General features: G+C 45.3%; 1 protein-coding gene across 5 annotated transcripts; it reads right to left on the bottom strand.

Moving 5' to 3' along the window:
* Positions 1–3,353: 3,353 nt before the first annotated feature.
* ECRG4 (ECRG4 augurin precursor) lies at positions 3,354–18,268 on the bottom strand. Of its 5 annotated transcripts, XM_047446022.1 has the most exons (6): positions 18,096–18,268; positions 17,147–17,228; positions 10,504–10,719; positions 9,618–9,665; positions 7,466–7,623; positions 3,354–3,744 (listed from the first exon to the last, which is right to left on the bottom strand). In XM_047446022.1, the coding sequence occupies exons 3-6, from the start codon at positions 10,586–10,588 to the stop codon at positions 3,583–3,585; spliced, it is 453 nt and encodes a 150-aa protein (XP_047301978.1). In that variant the 5' UTR covers positions 10,589–10,719; positions 17,147–17,228; positions 18,096–18,268; the 3' UTR covers positions 3,354–3,582. The 5 variants fall into 5 exon arrangements, with proteins under 5 accessions (XP_047301978.1, XP_006712862.1, XP_047301979.1 ...); XM_006712799.4 differs by lacking the exon at positions 10,504–10,719; XM_047446023.1 differs by lacking the exon at positions 17,147–17,228.
* Between the last annotated feature and the right edge of the window lie 1,366 nt (positions 18,269–19,634).

Raw genomic sequence — 19,634 nt, 5'->3', positions numbered from 1 at the left:
AAAAGTATTACTCAAAATAAGGAAATTTCTTACATAATAATTCCACTTACTGGGAAAAGGTACTGATTCTAAATTTATGTATGTATGTATATGAATAGTGTATAGCCTCATGATATACAAGGCCAGACTCACAAAATTAAAAGGAAAAAATTTTAAATCCATCATCATAGTAAAAGATTTTAACACACGTAGATCAAACAGACAAAAACAATCAGTAAGAAAGTAGAAAATGTGAACGTAAAACTATGGAGCTTGAATTAATGGGCTTTTACTGCATCTGACATTTGGAAAAGACACACTTCATTCAAGCACACATGGAACAGATGCTGGGATTGACACACCCCAAACATAAGGCACGACCAATACACTTCAAAGGATTGAGATCCGCCTGACCACATTTCTTACTGCAATGCAATTAAGTTGGAAAACAAAGCATGTAAGATAATTAGAAAAGTCCGCTCACTTGGAAATTTAGTAACACATCAATGTATGGGTCAAAGGAGAAATCGTAATTGAAATTAAAAGATTTCACCATGTAGTTTTTTACATCAGACACATGGGATACAATACTTGGAAGGAAACGTAGAGCATTAAGTGCTTGCCTTAAAAAAAAAAAAGAGAAGGCTCAAAATAGAGCTAAGATCTAATTGAATCAAAGACCCACAGAAGAAGAAAGAAAGAAATTAAAAGGACAGAAACAAATGAAACAGAGAAACACACAAGAGATCAACAAAACACAAAAACTATGTATTTGAAAAGGCATGATTCATTTTTTTAAAAACACACAAATGGAATGAAAAAAAGAACATAAATGCAGATGCTACAGAGAAATGCAAGAGGGAATAAGAACTGCTCTCAACACACTTCAGATCTTTAATATAGTGGATGACTTCCTAGAAAGACAGAACTTAGCAAAACCAACTCAAGGAGAAACACAAAATCAGAATCATCCTTTACCTGTAAGAGAAATACAACCAACAGTCAAAATTTTTTCCATAGAGAAACCAAGTCGAAATGGCTCAATCTGAATGCTACTAAACATTCAGGAAACAACAATTTCATTCTCACCATTCTTACACAGACAATAGAAAACAAAACACTCTCAATTCATTTTATGAGGCCAATATAACCTTGATACCAAAACTGCAAGAACACAACCAGACAGACAACTACAGGCCAATTCAATCTCACTTTATGAACATGGATGCAAAAATTCTGAACAAATATTACCAAACCAGATCCAGCAATGAAAAATAAAAGATGATACATCATGATCAAGTTGGGTTTATTCCAGCAATTTGACTATTAGAATTGTTATTAATAAAATTCACCTTAGTAACAGATTTAAAAGGAAAACTTAGTAAAGAAAAAAATAGAATTAAACATCCATATAACATATGACATTTAAAAAGTCTTAGCATATTTTTAGAAGGAAATTTTTTTAATTTGAAAAAGGACATCTAGAAAAAAAAAATCTAGCAAGTATAGTTAAGGAGGAACATAGAAAGCAGTCCCTTTAAGATAAGGAATGAAGCAAAGATGTCCTCCATCACCCACTTCACTCCTCTTTAAGATTGCATTGGGATTTGAGCCAGCTCAGTATAGTCAAGAAAAATAAACAAAAGTGTTAAGGGTGGGAATGTAAAATGGTATGCTGCTGTAGAAAACAGCATGGAGGATTCCTCAAAATTTTTTTTTTTTTTTTTTTTTTTTGAGATGGAGTCTTGTTCTGTTGCCCAGGCTGGAGTGCAGTGGCGCAATGTTGGCTCACTACAACCTCTGCCTCCTGGGTTCAAGCGATTCTCCTGCTTCAGCCTCCCTGGTAGCTGGGATTAGAGGCGCCCACCACCATGCCCAGCTAATTTTTGTATTTCAGTCCACTTCGGCCTCCCAAAGTGCTGGGATTACAGGCATGAGCCACTGTGCCTGGCCTGGTTCCTCAAAAAATTAAACATGGAATGAATATATGATCCAGCAATTCCAAAGAGAATTGAAAGCAGGGACACAAAAAGATACTTGCACACCCGTGTTCATAGCAGCATTATTCACAAGAGCCAAGAGATAGAAGCAGCCCGAGTATCCATGAATGGGTGAATGGATAAGCAAAAGTGGCCTATCCATACAATGGAATATTATTCTGCCTTAAAAAGGAATGAAATTCTGACACATGCTGCAACATGGATGAACCTTGAGGTCATTAAGCTAAGTGAAATAAGCCAGACACAAAAAGACAAATACTGTATTACACTACTTATATGAAGTCCCTAGAGTGGACATTCGTAGAGACTGAAAGTAGAATGGGGGTTGCCAGGGGTTGGGGATAGAAATGGGGAGTTAGTGTTTAAAGGATACAGTATCAGTTTGGGAAGATGAAAAAGTTCCAGAGATGGACGGATGGTAGTGACGGTTGCACAACAATGTGAATATACTTAGCCACCGAATTGTACACCCGAAAATGCTTAAAAGGGTAACTTTCATGTATATTTCACTACAATTTTAATTTATATGAATCCCCAAGAAGAAAAGAATGACCTTTGTTTATGATTGTCCGTAACACCGCTGCTCTGAATCCAGTGCTTCCTACTGGGCCTAGGGTTATTGATTACATAGGGTTTGTGAATGGGGGTGTGTTTCAGAGGCTATCTGCAAAATTGCATGTAATTTTTCTGAGGAAAAGAGCAAAAAGCTTTCAGACTGTCGGAGGAGTCTGTGACATACAAAAGTCTGAGACCCATTCTGAGTTGCCCCCCTCATGCTGTTAATCTCCTCCCCCACCTCACCCCCTGCAGTTCTGCGTAGTCTGGGACCAGACCCCCTCCTATCAGCAAAGGCTCAGATTCTTCACTCACCTCCCCCGTCTTCTTATCCTCCCTCTCCCTCACCCAAATACCACCTTTTCTTTCATTCACTCAGGTTGTTTACAATGCAAAGAATATTCTTAAATATGTCTTAAATTCATGGAACAAGGTTTTATTTTTTAGATAACTGTGGCTCTGAAATCAACCAAATTTCAGGTTTTTTTCTGTTGCCCTTCATTTCCTGGATGGTAACATTAAACAGGTCCAGCTGTAGCTCAGAACCAGAAGGGTTTTCTGTCAAATGATTGGAATCCTCCACGTTCTGTAACCACAGATTATTTTCAACTAGCTTTTCTTGCTGATCGTGTGCCTTGCATTTCATGTAGACTGTGTTCTAACAAACTGAAGACCTCTCACTCAGTCCTGTGGTCTGCCTGGGTGGTGGTGAGGAATCTCACGGTGATAACAGAGAGGTGCCTCTCAGACGCAACTTCAAAACATCAAGGGAACGAGAAATGTCACCAGCTTAATTTGCACCCAAATGAATTCTAAGACTTTTCTTTTTAACAAAATGCTTTATTTCTATTTTTAAATGAGAGGCATTCCCATGAAATATCAAAAGGCATTTACATGTGTTGTTTTAACTCTTCTTTTTTGATCACACAAAGTAGGTAGAAAAGATCTGCTGAAATAGAGCAAATCAGAAACCAAGTAGTGTAAGGCATTAGGAGATACATGAAGAGAATCGCTATTTGCTTCTTGTACAGCGTGTGGCAAGTCATGGTTAGTAGTCATCGTAGTTGACGCTGGCTCCATGCCTAAAGCCGTAGGGGCTCCGGGGACCAATTGCAGAGTCTTCATCATAGTGACGTTGGTAGTAATCGCCATAGTATTCATGTCCATTTCGATCTCTGTTAAGCCAATAGGTGATGTCATCTTCAAATTTCTGGAGGAAAAGAGAGAGAATGATAGAGAATGGATTTAAGGTCATGCAGTCCCCTAAGACCTAATCTTACCTATGGCTTTTCTTCATGGTGGTTTTTCTTCAACGATTAACAACCCTTAGTAACTCCCTGTTACCGTATTCTTGTGCTCAGAGGCCAAAACAGTCAGCAGTATTCACTCTGATAAAAGCTATCTTTTCCCAAAGGAGTGCAGGCCCATACCTTTGCAAACTTTTGTAAAATATTTGCTAAGTGTATTCCAGACTTAAATGTTTTTCTCTCTCTTGGTAAATCAAATGGACAGGTGCCCAAATACCATAACAACTTGGCCTGACCCTCAGACCACATCTCACTGTGGCAAACACTGTCTTATCTTCCTACCCCATTCCTGTGCCTGGCCCTTTATACTGCATGTAGTAGATGCTTAATAAATGTTGCCTGAGTTAGATCAACCACTGCATTGGCCTATTATAGTGCCAGGGCAGAGAACTGGGGGTACATTTGATGGTGACTCTTATACCTGTGTTGTTGGTTAGAGTGTACACAGATGCATTTATTTATTCTGCAAATGCTTTGAGATGGGCACTGTGTGTCATGCCCTGTGCTGGGCACTGGAGGGCTGCCAAAAACAGTCGTCTGTGCCTTCAAGAAGCCTACTGTTCCTGAGTGACAGATATGAGAAGAGACAGTTGCAGATAATAAAAGGGATAGAGAAGCTAAAGCTGAGTAAGTAGTGTAGAATGATGGTCAGGTTTTGGTTTGGGCAACTGATCTTGGCTATTAATACATTTTTTTTAAAGGAGAGACTAATTTTTCTTTGGTGGTGGTGAAGGTGCAAGATTAATTTAGACTAGGACTCGTGTGCTGATGCTCAGGACATCGCAAGAGATTTAGTGTGAGAGCAAAAAGGCAGGGAGATGACAGATGGGCTGGGTGAACGGGTCATGCCATTGGGGTGCAGGGCCAGTTTTTCTCCAAGCGTGGCCCATGCACCCCAACATCCAAATCACAAATGCAGGTTCTCAGGCACCAGCCACTCCATGCCTCCTGCATGGAACTTTCTGATGTTTGGGACTCAGCAACCTGTTGTTATTTTAACAAGACTGCCAATGAACATTAATTAATATTGAGAACTTTGTGAGGCTGGAATCCCCAGCCTAGCCCGTGTCTGTGGTCTCTGGGGCTCAGTGGTCATCCACTCTTGGTGGGTACTGGGCCAGCTAGTGCTGGGCTAAAGAGCATGATTCCAATTTCTCACTGCCATTCTCTATACCTGGGGTCTGAATCATCTGAGCCCACCTCAGCCTCTGCCTTGGGAAGGAGGACACCGACTTCTTTGGCTCCATCTCTAGTTTTGCTTTCCCATAATACAACATTTTTGGCCATGGTGAAACAATCTTGCCTCTTGGGTTTTCTCATTTTATTTTATTCATTTATTTATTTTTTAAGAGGGAGTTTCACTCTTTCACCCAGGCTGGAGTGAAGTGGCATGATCTCAGCTCACTGCAAGCTCCACCCCCCACCAGGTTCAAGCGGTTCTCCTGCCTCAGCCTCCCGAGTAGCTGGGATTATAGCCATCTGCCACCACGCCTGGCTAATTTTTTTGTATTTTTAGTAGAGACAGGGTTTTGCCATGTTGGTCAGGCTGGTCTCCAACTCCTGACCTCAGGTGATCCACCCATCTCGGCCTCCCAAAGTGCTAGGATTACAGGCGTGAGCCACTGTGCCCAGCCTCTCATTTTACAAGTTTGCTTGCAGTTTTAGCTTAAATATGTATTTTCAAAAATTTTTTAAAATCTTTGATGAATACAGAAATAATATAGATTAAGATTTTAAAATCTGTATGTGAGAGAAGAGCATAGAAAAAGAAGATCATATTCCTTTGCCAGAGACCACTAGTGACACTTGGATGTAGTCATTGTACTCTTTTTAATGCATATTAAGTTACTGTAATCTTATTTGATCCTCATCTTTATTCTGGTTTTGTCACCTGACATTATTTGAGTAGTTTCTGCATGTTAAACTCTCTTTTTTTTTTCTTTTTTGAGACGGAGTCTCATTCTGTTGCCCAGGCTGGAGTGCAGTGGTGCGATCTCAGCTCACAGCAAACTCCGCCTCCCGGGTTCGAAGGATTCTCCTGTCTCAGTCCCCTGAGTAGCTGAGACTACAGGCGTGAGCCACACACCTGGCTAATTTTTTGTATTTTTAGTAGAGACGGGGTTTTGCCCTGTTGGCCAGGCTGGTCTTGAACTCCTGACCTCAGGTGATCCACCTGCCTTGGCCTCCCAAAGTGCTGGGATTACAGGCATGAGCCACCATGCCCGTCCCTGCATGTTAAACTCCTAATGCCCATTTTAATGATGGTCATCAAAGAAATGCAAATTACTGAAGGAGGATATAGCATTTTCATCTATCAAGTAAGCAAACATATACTTTTAATTTTCAATGAGAACACCAGATGCTGCTGAAGACGCCAGAAAACTGTTGCTCTTACATGTGACTCACAGGAATGTGCAGTTTGACAATACTCAGAGATACTTAAATGTGATTCCACCCTTGCCCCAGGAACCTCACTGGGAAGAATGTGGTCTAAGTAAAAGGCAAACTGTACAGAGATGCAAATAACAGCACCTGCCTTTTGGGTTGTTGTGAATGTGAAGTAAGTTCGTACCTCTAAGTACTTAGAATCATGCTTGGCTCAGAGTTTGGCTATACATGTTTACCTATTTGCACAGAAAAAGAAAAAAAAAAGCAAAAAGACACTTAGGGAACAAGTAATATGTCCAATGGTTGGAAATGTGAAGGAAATTTTGGTATAGCCACATGATTTCACTTTATGTAGCCATTACAAATGATATGTCTAAGGGGTTTAGTTTTTTTCTTCACCTACTGCAGTATTGTGTATACACCGTCTAAATGAATCATGTGCCCATTTTGAAAAACACATCCAACTGCCCATTTGGAGGTCCTGCCTATGAAAAGCCCATCTGCTCCCTGGTGGGGCAGCACAGGCCACAGGTCCTCCCTTTACGTCTCACACAGGGAGCTCAGCCTCCTCAGTCACCATGGATGGATGCCCATGCGGCAGCATCTATGACTTCCATGGGCTGCCGTCTCACCTCCACGTGCACCCCAGCTGGGAGCCTACGATCATAAACTCTTTGTCTTTCATTCAATGAATACGTCCACCAATGCCATCTAGGCGCATGAACTGTAAACCATCTTTTCCTATAAGTGCATTGACAAATTTTCCCCAAAACCTCTACAAAGACCCATCCTCTCTTTACAGGTCCCTTTTCATCTCTTTTCATTATCATCATAGATCCCGGCATCCCTGTTGTTTCTGACAGTCTTCAAGTTAAAAGTTAATAGGTTTTGGGGGATTGTGAGTTATTTTAAGAATACCCTGGCAAAACTGTTCAGCCAAGTTAAAAGGGTTCCCGAGAAAGTCAGATTCTCGATGAATCTAGGTCCCCGCTGTTTTGGTTCATGACTGCCGTGGGTTCTGCCTCCTGAATGTACCCTGGTGGAAACTTCCAGCCATCGCCCTTACACCATAGGTAACATGATCCAGTGCCTGATAGCACTTGGCATATGATGGGGCTCTTACTCTAGGAATGAACAGCAAAGCTGAATTTTCTGCTTCCTATTTCCCCGAGCCAGGCCTCCTCCCTGCCACCCTTCCCTGTGGAAGCCAGGCCTGCAGCCGGAGGCAACACCTACCGCTTCGTCAAAGCCCATGTAGAGAAACTGCTGGTACCACTGCTGCACCTCGGGCCGAGTCCGGTCCCACAGCTGCCGCTTCTGGCGCTTCAGGCTGCCAAGGAATTCTTTGGCTTTATTCTCATCAACGGCCACTTTAGTCTTAGTTGGAACAGGTGCTGAAATCATCAATTCCCCATCCCCAAAGCACAAAGAATGACTTCCTTCCTCACTTGCGGTGAATCCCTGTTATACATCCCATCCCCCACCACCATGTGTAGGAGGGTTTTGACTCTCAACTTCATTCTTACTTGCATGTGACAATGTGACACAGCCTCGTAGATTCTGTCACCATGCTTCCTGTTAGTAAGTGTTATTTGGTACAACCCTATAAAGGGGCATGGACTAAACTTCAACCTCTAGGTCCTCAGGGTAGAAATGAAATTCAGCTCATCTCCTGCAGCCCACTCGCACCCAGGGCCCAGGCCTTTCCCGGGGCAAATGGCCCACCCCTCAGGCTCCGCATTCAGGAAACAGACTGGATATCTAGTGCCACACAGGTATACGGGCATGTCCATTGCATATGCCAACACAAGAGGGTTGTGCTTGGCTCAGGAGATTATGTAAGAAAAAGGAACTGGAATGATGAGCCCCGGGTGAGCAGGGACCAGACCCTGCCCAACAGTACAGCTGATTCTCACACCAGGCTGCTGGGACACAGAATCCCCTTAAGCCAGTGCCTCTCTGCGCCTCACAGTCTGACCATTGATGCAGGATACTGACCCGCACCCTCACACTGCTGCTGCTAACGTCTTTCCATCACAGTCTCAATTGTTGAAATGGAACCACTTCCGCAGGATGTGCTCGAGGAAGCCACTGTGCCATTAGGCGTTTTTCTCCTGCTGTCACGTTTTCAGCCTCTGTCCCCGTATCTATAAAAGTGGGTGGACAGTCCCTCTCGATGACGTTAGGAAAAATGCACAGGATCATGGAAATGCAGGCCTGGTGCATTCGTTGGTCGTATGGACAAATACCAGCAGGGGTTTTTGTTTGTTTGTTTACAATCCCTTGAGGGATTGTAACACTGTTTTGTACACAGTAGTTGCTCAATATGTGTTTCTTGATTTGAACTGAGTCAAGGCTGCGGGATGCACACCAAGGAGTTGTGACTGCCTCAGCAGCTTGCTCACCTATGACAAACTGGCTCTGTGAGGGCGTTGTTGATCCCTGGGCATCCGTGAGGTAAGGCTCTGGCCACCACACAGCACAGGGAGGGGGCCCTCTGAGCCGCCTCAGAGATTGGGGGTGGGCCAGGGCTTCTTGGGTGGCTGGAACCCCAGGAAAAGATGCTGGGACCGCCCCAAGCCTGTTCTCCAGCCACCTGTGGGAGGGCCCCTGAGCAGCAACTGGGGAGTGTGGGAAGAATGACTGAGGACCCCACTTCAGGGAGGAAGTTCAGCCTGCTAGAATCCCCCACAAACTAGGAGGGAAAGAATAACTGACTAAATGGTCACATCAGAAGTGTGGTCACACTTTTTCATTTCTAAGGGATTCTTAATTTTACAGATAGAGATGAAAGTTGGGAGAGGGAAAATGACATTCACGAGACCCCACAATTGATCCACCTGATCTGATTACAGCAGGTCCAGAACCTGTGTGTTGTGACCCCCAGACTGTTCAATTTCTATGACATTTTGTTGCTGTCACATTTATCTTAGATGCATTATTCAAAACAGAGGCTAATAACAAGAAAGGCTTTCCTGTTTGAAACCCTTCCCCAAGAGCTCTTTGGATACACGGACTACCGCAACACTGCTGTTCCACGCCTGCCCCACCAACTGAGGATTATGTGTTCCAAAGATAGTCTCTAAAGTGCTCCATGGTCCTAAAATAAATAGCATGCAATTAACACTGTACTACTGTTTCTTTTATTTTTGAGTCCACACTGACAGGTTTCAGAAAAATAACCTTCAGACATTTACTGGCAATAATATTTATCTAATAAGATACCACACCACATACCAACAGAATAAGCCCTTCATATCTGCTAACCTTTTAAGGAGTAAACACTTTTGATTTTCCAAATACAAGACTCCAGTGAGCACAATCCATATTGCCATTTCATTTCCATCCAGTTAAGAATGCATCCCTTATCCATTTGGGGTATATTTACCTTCTCGTTTTTGAAGCATCAGCTTGAGTTTATTTCCACTTATGCCACCTAAAGGAATGAAAATTGAAATCCATATCAGAGTTATACTGCTCCCTTCAATTTATCAAAGGCAAAAATCAGAGTGGGAGAAAAGAACTGCGGGCCCCTGCCTTGATTTGGCAACTTGGTAACATCACAGTATTTAACACTTGCTGTATTCCCTGTCCTGCAGGACAAACAATTCAGGCTGCCCATGGCTAATACTGGTGATAATGACCACAGCCGACCAAGGGTATTACTATTTGAGCTAGTCAGAGTGATGCTGTTCTTTTAGCCCTGTGTCTTACTACGAGGCGCAGCCATCTGTCAAGCGCATCTTCCTGCAAATTTTCACTTCATGGTGTAATACGTTGAATAGTGAATAGTGTCCTCCTGAAACCCCTATCCACCAGAAACCCCTGAATGTGAGCTTATTTGGAAATGGGGTCTTTTCAGATATAATCCATTAAGGATCTCAAGATTTTTATTTTTTTTTTATTTTCTTTTCTTTTCTTTCTTTCTTTTTTTTTTTTTTTTTTTTTTTTTTTTTTACAGCCTTACCCATCACTGAGAGGGTCTCAAGATGTTATCATACGGGATTTAGATGGACAGAAATCCAGTGACTGGTGTTTTTATAAGAAGAAGAGAGGATCCACGGAGGTCACCCATGTGAAGACAGAGGCAGGCAGAAATGGGAGTCAGGCTCCCACACACTGGGGAACTTGCCTTTGCTCTCTAAAAGTGCAGCCCAGTTTTGTAGCTTGCCCAGATCACCCTAAAATCAAGTATGATTTGTACCACTTGCTGTTATTTGTATTCACTTTTAAAAGTGTTTCTGATCAGCTCAATCATTTTTAATAGAAAATACCTTGTCTGGCCTGATAGAACACACGCCTCCACCCAGCGAACTGGCTTGCAGACCTATAGGAGCCTCTGACCCTTAACTGTTGCATGACATCGTAAGTAGTGAGTAGAGCAACTTCGGGTGTAAGGAACTGGAGTCAGGCCCCAGGATGGAGGTAATGGTGACCACTTTCTCAGCAGGGTTCTTAGCCTCTCCTTCCATGGACAGGCTCCAGGGGGTCTAGAAAGGCATGTAAAATTGCGTTTGCATCTGCCAAGGCACAGTTTTCTGGGAATAGGAACCATAGCTTTTGCCAGACTCTTAAAAGTGTCTGTGACCCAAATAAAATTAAGAATGCCTGCTTTGTTTGTGAATTATACATCAATAAAGCTGGGGGAAAAAATAAATGTTTTAAAAGAGAACCTCTGCACAAAGAATTTACTGTGGAGTTGGGGCGAAGAATATATCCATAAACAAGAGTCACAAGCTGGCTGCCTCACCTGAGGCTGCATTTTATTAGCATACCCAGTGTCTACAAATTTTGAATTTGAATGCCTCTCAGCCCAAGTCACTTGGCACACTCATGGTCCGTAAGCAGCCACCTAACCTACTAGCCTCCTGTAGCATTTGGATTAAAGTGCTACCTGGCTGCCTTCAGAGTCATTGGGCCATCCAGGGAGCCTGCTGGCCTGCCCTCTGGGATGGGACGGGGAACCTGCTAGAACTTATTAAGTCTATTTCCTGCTAAGTGCCTCCCTTCTAATTCACGGGTAGGGTGGCCACACTTTCTGGTTGTCCAGGAACAGCCCTGGTATATACCTCTTGTCCTTGTAAATTAATGATAGTGCCTCCTTTTGCTCTCAAAAGTGTTTCAGCTTGGATGATAAATTACATGGCCTCCCAATTTTTTGAGGTTTAATGGCATGGAAATGGCTTCATAAGATCTCTAGGGACCACACTGAAGGGCCAGGGAGGAGAGGTGGTGGTTTCCCTCACACCTTCCCTATGAGAGCTGGGAGTCTGCTGGGTGGCCAGCTAAGATATCGGCGTAGTGCATAGCAGCCTGTGGGAGAGCTGCAGTGGTTTTTGTTGTCTGTGCTCAAGTCGGTCTATAGTGATGTAGTTGTTTAAAAAGCAATTGCAATCTTAGGCTGTTTAATAAAGGATACTTAAAAAAAGAAAGTAACTGTCCTGTCGCTGTTCCATCACAGCTCTGAACAGACCTCCCCTCTACTATTTAGTTCAGTTCACATCATCTCACTTGAAGAAGGTCATAGAAAAACCGGAGTTGTGGTCAAAGGAGAGTGTCCAGAGAGGACTAGCGCCCAAACATGTGTTATATGAGAAGAAATTAAAGGAATTTAGGTGTTTAACCTAGAGAAATAAAACTTGTGGAGCTGGGTGTGGTGGCTCACACCTGTAACCCCAGCACTTTGGGAGGCCAAGGCAGGCGCATAGCCTGAGATCAGGAGTTTGAGACCAGCCTGGTCAACTTGGTGAAACCCCGTCCCTACTAAAAATACAAAAAATTAGCCTAGTGTGGTGGTGCATGCCTGTAGTCCCAGCTACTCAGGAGGCTGAGGCAGGAGAATCGCTTGAACCTGGGAGACAGAAGTTGCAGTGAACCAAGGTAGCGTCACTGCACTCCATTCTGCGTGACAGAGTGAGACTCTATCTCAGAAAAAAAAAAAAGAAAGAAAGAGAGAGAGAAAGAAAGAAGGAAGGAAGGAAGGAAAGAAAGAAAGAGAAAAAGAAAGAAAGAAAAAGGAAAGAGAAAGAAGAAAGAAAGAAAAGAAAGAAGGAAAGAAGAAAGAAAAGAAAATAAAAAAGAAAGAAGAAAGAGAAAGAAAGAAAGAAAAAAGAAAGAAAGAAAGAAAGAAAAGAAAGAAAGAAAGAAAGAGAAAGGAAGAAAGAAAAAGAAGGAAGGAAGGAAGGAAGGGAGGAAGGAAACTTGTGGGAGGAGAGCCAATGCTTTGAGGGGCCACTGGGCCATAGGTTAGGGCATGAAGTAAGGTTTCTAACGCCCAGATAGACAGCCACCCAAGATGGGACAAATGGCCTTGGGGGGTTTGAGATTAAGAGTTGCTGGAGGCGTCTGAGCATAAATAAACATAGATGAGCACTTGACCAGGCTACTGTAGAGGGGATTTTCTAATTAGATGGGGGTGGGACTACTGTTTAACGCTCTACTTCCCTTCCAAACTTAAATTCAATGAAGAAATCTATGAAAATATTTGCCAAGGGAGACAGATATGTTCCTTGGCACTAATAATAGCATTCATTAATGTCTTAACATCTGTCAGTCTCTAACAGCTCACAGGGTAGTACATACAGAATTAAGTATGGCCCCTCCATCTGTTTGCCTTCTGTGAAAGTGCTTAACAATTAATGAATGAAATGTGGTCTGATGTTGAAATAGACACTGCGTGTAGGCATTTGCGATGAGGCTGCAATTTCTTGCAGCAAATGTATGTCACTATTACTCCAGAAATGAGAGCCTCGCCAAACCTTAGCTATAGATGGAAAAGCACAAATAAGTCCCAAATTATGAATTATGAATGTTGCTGCTGTGCCAGGTACTATACACTGAACTCCATATCAGTACATATAACTGGACACTACACTAAATTTGTTTGAGGAAAAGGATAAGGAACAATAGAATAGCTGTGATTTTTTTCTGTATTAAGGACTTTTCACCCAATATCATCAGTTGTTCATTCAAGGCTGCAATAATAAGCACTCCTTAATTTATCCAATCCAGTTGCCTAGCATTAGCTCTCCCAGCAAATTCAGAGCTGCAAAATGCTCCTTTGAAGGTGCTTAATATTAATAAATTGATCAAGAAGGGGTCACGGTCATTTTCTTTATTAAATGTTTGTGAGTGAGGAAGGGCGTGGTGGTTCAAGCCTATAATCCTAGCACTTTGGGAAGCCGAGGCAGAAGCATCACTTGAGCCCAGGAGTTCGAGACCAGCCTGGGCTACATAGTGAGACTCATCTCTACTAAAAATTAAAAGAAAAAAAAAAAATTGCCAGGCGTGGAGTCAACACACCTGTAGTCCCAGCTACTCGGGAGGCTGAGGTGGGAGGATTGCTTGAGTCCGGGAGATCAAGGCTGCAGTGAGCTATGATCACACCACTGCACTCCTGCCTAGGCAACAAAGTGAGACCCTGTCTCAAAAAAAAAAAAAAAGTTTGGAGGTGGCATAAAGAGTCACCTTTGGGATTACATAAAGATTTTCACTGTAGGCTGGGCATGGTGGTTCATGTTTGTAATCCCAGCACTTTGGGAGGCCAAGATTGGTGGATCACCTGAGGTCGGCAGTTTGAGACCAGCCTGACCAACATGGAGAAACCCCATCTCTACTAAAAATACAAAACAAAAACAAAAACCTTAGCTGGGCGTGGTGACACATGCCTGTAATTCCAGCTACTCGGGAGGCTGAGGTAGGAGAATCGCTTGAACCTGGGAGGCGGAGGTTGCAGTGAGCCAAGGTCACGCCATTACACTCCAGCCTGGGCAACAAGAGCAAAACTCCATCTCAAAAAAAAAAAAAATATTTTCACTGTATAAGAACTTTCACATCCCAGCTCGGTGATGATATTTTAACTGAGTTATTGGTATAAACTAAATAAAATACAAGTCCTGAAAATAAATGGCTTGTAGCCAGTGCTCACTTGACTTATTCAGATGTGCTTTTTTCTTCTTCTTCTTTTATTTATTTCTTTTTTTATTTTGCGACGGAGTTTCACTCTTGTTACCCAGGCTGGAGTGCAATGGCACGATCTCAGCTCGCCGCAATCTCCTCCTCCCAGATTCAAGCAATTCTCCTGCCTCAGCCTCCCGAGTAGCTGGGATTACAGGAACGTGCCATCACGTCTGGCATTTTTAGTAGAGACGGGGTTTCTCCATGTTGGTCAGGCTGGTCTCGAACCCCCGACCTCAGGTGATCTGCCCCCCCCCCCCCCCCGGCCTCCCAAAGTGCTGGGATTACAGGTATGAACCACCAAGGCCGGCCCAGATGTGCTTCTTAAAGTGGCAAGAACAAAGAGTGGGAGGCAGGTAAACCATACAACGGGAAATGACTGATTAGCTTCGCCTGTGATTCTAAGGTGGAACAATAATCCTCCCCACCTGAACAGACCTCACCACGCCTCCTGCTGTTTTAGCAACCCCGGGGCTCCATCCCAGGGCTCCTACTGAATGTCCCCTGCCTCTTCTCACCTCGAGTTCAGTTTCCATACCTGTTTCGAATGAGCAAAATACAGAAACTGAGCAACCGAGTGAGCCTCCCTTTTACATTAGGCAGTGCCCAGCTGCTTTGCAGTGGGACAGCGCCAGTCTCAGGCTCTTGGGCAAGTCACTTCATACACCAGTAACTCTGAGGTAACAATCCCTGCCTCCCCTAGTTGTAAGCTTCAAAGGCAGTCATGTGTCCTTGAGGCCACTTGTGAACCATAAATGTTCCTCCTACCCAGTGAAGGTGGTAACTCAGGACAAACCACGGCTTCAGATTATGGTTCCTAAAGTGGGGCCTGTGGAGCCCAGCGATCAGATATCGGAGCACCCATCATTCTGGGTGTGCGTGTGAATGCACGTTTTACAGAGAGCGAGCAGAGAATTTCAGAGTTTTCAACCGATTCGCTGGGAGCTCCACGAAGCAGGAAAGATTAAGCATTACTCCTTTAAGAGCCTTTCCCCTCTCTGGGGTGTGAGGCCTGTGCCCAGCTTTGCAAATTGCAACTTGACCCAGCTGGGAAGCGCAAGTCAACTTGGTTGCTAAGCGACTGCCTGGAAGGGAATGGCGGTGATGGTGCCATTTGCCTCCTCTGGGTTACCAGCTGCGTAAAGCCCCCACAACCCTTTTGCCCCTTACGTTAAGCCACGAAACACTACTTGCCCACCCTTCGGACGCCTGGCCCTCCTTGCCCAAGGTTGCCCGGGAGATCTGAGACCCTCCCCTTGACCCCGGTACTCTCTCCACCCTCACAAGGGCACCACTTCGCACTTGTGCGAGTGCAAAACCCCAGACCCGGTCCTCTACCACCCCTTGGCCCTGCCTAGGCTAAGGATGGGTCCCTACGCCGCCACCCCATCACCGATCGCTCTCCCCGGGCACCATGGAAGCGCCACATGGGGCCAACCCCTGGTGCCGCTATCAATCAGCCTGGCATCGCCCCGCTCACCTGGGCCCCAGCACAGGAGCAGGAGCAGCGCCAGCCCGGTCAGGGCCAGGACAGCAGGCCGCGCGGGGGAGGCAGCCATGGCGGCGGGGCGCGAGCAGGAGGGCGAGGGGCGCACTTCGAGGTGCTGCGAGGGAGAACCGGGCGCGGGAGAGGGGTGCGAGCGGGCAGGCGCGGCCGCGGGTTATCCCTGCGTCGCTGCCGGGGCGGGACCCAGCGGGTGGGCGCCGCGCCAGAGGGCTGAGGGCCAAGCGGCTGCGCCCAGCGCACGGGCGAGTACCACCGAGGTCCTCTCTCCCGCCCCGGCCCCAAGGGGAACGCAGCCCCTGGGCTCCAAGGCCAAGGATGCTTGGCCACGGAGAACCGCCGGCGGCGGGGGCCGCGTGGCCAGCGCTGCCCGCAGCGAAAGCGGTTAGGACAAGCTGGGTTCCGGAGACCCAAGGAAGGGCAGAAGGCATCGGGAGAAGGGACGAGGCCCCCTGGCCACTCAGAGGGAGGACTTGCCGGATCCCAGCGCTGGGGTGTCTCCTTGGCTCCCCCACTTCCTCCGCCCGCCCCAGCCGCGCCACTGTTCCCCTTACTCCTCACCCCTTTCTTCCCTATCTCCCTCCCTCCCTGCTTGGGGGCCTTGCTTCTGCCTGGTTTGTAAAGTGGGCTTTGGAATTTCCTTAGTTCAGAGCTGCTCTTAAGGATGCCTTAGGCGGGGCTGTTTTTGAGATAGTTTGAAAGATTCCACAGTCTGGGTTCAGAGCTGCAGTCCGGGAAATCGTCTCACCCAAACTTCTCCAATAGAAAAGCCTTTGAGAAACCAGGAACCTGGTGCCCTGCAGCTGTGAGCAAAACCACTGCTTCCCTTTGCCCGCTCTGTAATCTGGGCACACTTCAGCGAGCGATGTTAAGGTGAGACCCAAGGGAAACGCAGAACTGCATCCCAGTAACTGGCCTGTTCAACTGTAGAGGACACGTGAAAGGAGGCGTAGTGAACAAAAACTAGAACAACTTTATCCCAACGGACTCTGAGCGGGTCACCTAATTATTCTCTCCAGGCCTGGGCTACAAAAGGATGGAGATGTGAGATTACCTTTCCTGTCTTCCCATCTCAGATCTGCCCTGAACTGAGCTGATTACCTCTTTCCTTCACCAAGGTTCTCACTTATTTTCCCCTCCCTGAGACGGAGTTTCACTCTTGTTGCCCAGGCTGGAGTGCAGTGATGGGATCTCAGTCACTGCAACCTCCAACTCCGGGGTTCAAGCGATTCTCCTGCCTCAGCCTCCTGAGTAGCTGGGATTACAAGGCATGTGCCACGAGGCCCAGCTAATTTTGTATTTTTAGTAGAGAAGGGATTTTACCATGTTGGCCAGGCTGGTCTTGAACTCCTGAACTCAAATGATTCACCCGCATCGGCCTCCCAAAGTGTTAGGATTACAGGTGTGAGCCACCACACCGGCCAGTATTTTTATACCCTCCAGTGGTAAGCACTTACTGTCTCTCCATATAATTAGCTCTCCATGCAATGCAGTTGAATTTCTCCAGCAGGAAGGAGAAAGAAGTCTTCTAACATTGAGCTAGTAAAGACAGATGGTGGCCAACCAAAGAAAAAAGTGCAAAGTGGGTCTGAGTTAGATCATGATACTGCCCAGGGTGTCAGAGAGAATCAGAAGGATAATGTTACACATCTAGCTATCTTGGGGAAGTGCTTCTAAACCCTTGAGGAAACTGTAGAATAGGGGATAGGAGTTTTAAAAGTAACCAGGCATATATTTACTTTTGCCTGAGGACAAGAAATTTATCATTAGAAAGAAAAATCAAAGCACATAAAAAGCCAATATTCTGTTTGGATTGGTTTAGAACATACATTAAACATAATGGCTGTAATCTTATTTATCCTGTGGAGATCATCCCCCTTACCCCAAATTGCTACCAATATCTACTTCTAATATGACATTCAAATTCTCTTCACTTAAGGGGGATCATGGTGGCTCACGCCTGTAATCCCAGCACTTTGGGAGGCTGAGGAGGGCAGATCACTTGAGGTCAGGAGTTTGAGACCAGCCTGACCAACATGGTGAAACTCCCTCTCTACAAAAATGCAAAAATTAGCCAGGCGTGGTGGTGCGTGCCTGTAGTTCCAGCTACTTGGGAGGCTGAGGCAGGAGAATCACTTGAATCCAGGAGGCGGAGGTTGCAGTGAGCCGAGATTGCGCCACTGCACTCCAGCCTGGGTGACAAAGCGAGACACTATCTAAAAAAAAATAAATTATCTTCACTTAATCGGGATATGACCAGAGAGTGTTCTGTAGCAGGGAGCGTCTCACTCTGCCTTCAGAGGGGCCGCTAAACTCATGTGTTCAGCCTGGAGACACTATGTCAGTTCTTATGCTGATATCTAAGTTCCTTTTCATCTGTCTATTTGTTCAACGGTATTTACTTACTGTCTTAGTCCATTTGGGCTGCTAAACAAAATCCCATAAGCTGGGTAGCTTATAAGCAACAGAAATGGATTTTGCACAGTTATGGAGGCTGGAAATTCAAGACTAAGGCCCCAGCAGATTTGGTGTCTGGTCAGGCCCTGCTTCCTGCTTCCTAGATGGCACCTTCTTGCTGTGTCCTCATACGGTAGAAGGGGTGAGGGAGCTCTCTGGGGCTCTTTTATGAGGTCACAAATCCCACTCATGAGGGATCCATCCTCAGTACCTGATCATCTCCCAAAGGCCCCACCTCCTAACACCTCACTTCAGGAATTAGGATTTAATGTATGAATTTAGGGGAGACACAAAAATTCAGTCTGTAGCACTTATAAAATGCTAGCTACATGTGAGACACTATTAAAGGTCCTTTTCTTACTAGTCGCTTAAATTTTTCACCCCTTTAATGTACAAGACCCTCCTTTCTCCCGCTGCTAAGTCTGGTCTGATTTTTCATTCCAGTGTTTCTCAAACTTAGTCTGAAAATCCCAAGGAGCTTGTTAGTGCAGATTTCTGAGTCAAATCCCCTGGAATGACGTAGGTCTTGGGTGGGGCCCAGCTGTCTCCATTTTGTTTTTATTGGCTCCTAGAGGATGCTGTAGTCCTCAGACTGCACTTTGAGTAACTCAGCTCATTCAGCTCTCCACCAAAACGCACCTGCTTCCTAAAGTCTCTACCTGGCCTCACTCAGTTTAATAATGCAGTTTCTCTCCCTTGATATACCATACCAAATGAACCCCAGGACCTTCGTTTCTGCCATGTGACAGTAGCTAAGGACGTGGGCTTTGGGTTCCAGTTCCTTCTGCATTATGCACAAACTGTGTAATTAGATCACCTGTCCTCTCTAGGCCAGAGGTAATATGGGGGCAATATTATCTATCACACTGGGGTAAGAGATCACATGCACAGAGCCTGGTGTACAGTAAGCACTCAACAAATGTTAGAAATTATTTTCAGACCAAACTCCCTCTGGCCTCTGAGCTCCCCACCCAGTGCTCTTACACCTCTCTGATCCTCCCTTCCTTTGGCCAGGAGCTCTCATTGTAGACGATTCCAATCCACTCCACATACCATTGTCACACATTGTCAGACTGACCTTCTCAAACACAGTCCAGACATGGTGTTCCCTTCCTCCACGTGACTCAGGGGCCTCAGTGGTCCTCCCTCTGTGGCTTCCAATTCACAGATACCTGGCAATAGCAGATAGAGGACTGTAGGAAGTGCCATCACTCTGCGAGCGTGCCGTGAGCTGAATGCACACAGGGGAAAGGGGGCAGGGTCTAAGACGGAGCTGCCTTTGATTATGAGAGGCCTCAGAGAGAACAACCACAGCAAGGCCAGGTCCATCTTGACTCTGCCTCCAAGGAGCCAGCAGTAAGAGAGATTCGACAGCCGAGAGGGCTTCATTTTAATTAACATTGCTAAATATTTTAGGTGTGAAAATGGTATTGTATTTGCAATTTTAAAGCCCTGTCTATTAGAACTATATACTGAATTTTTATGGGT

Source organism: Homo sapiens, chromosome 2, assembly GCF_000001405.40.
Source record: "Homo sapiens chromosome 2, GRCh38.p14 Primary Assembly".
In the NCBI taxonomy this organism is placed as follows: Eukaryota; Metazoa; Chordata; class Mammalia; order Primates; family Hominidae; genus Homo; species Homo sapiens.
The sequence above is the reverse complement of the archived record's forward strand: the minus strand, read 5'-3'. Positions and strand labels throughout refer to the sequence as shown.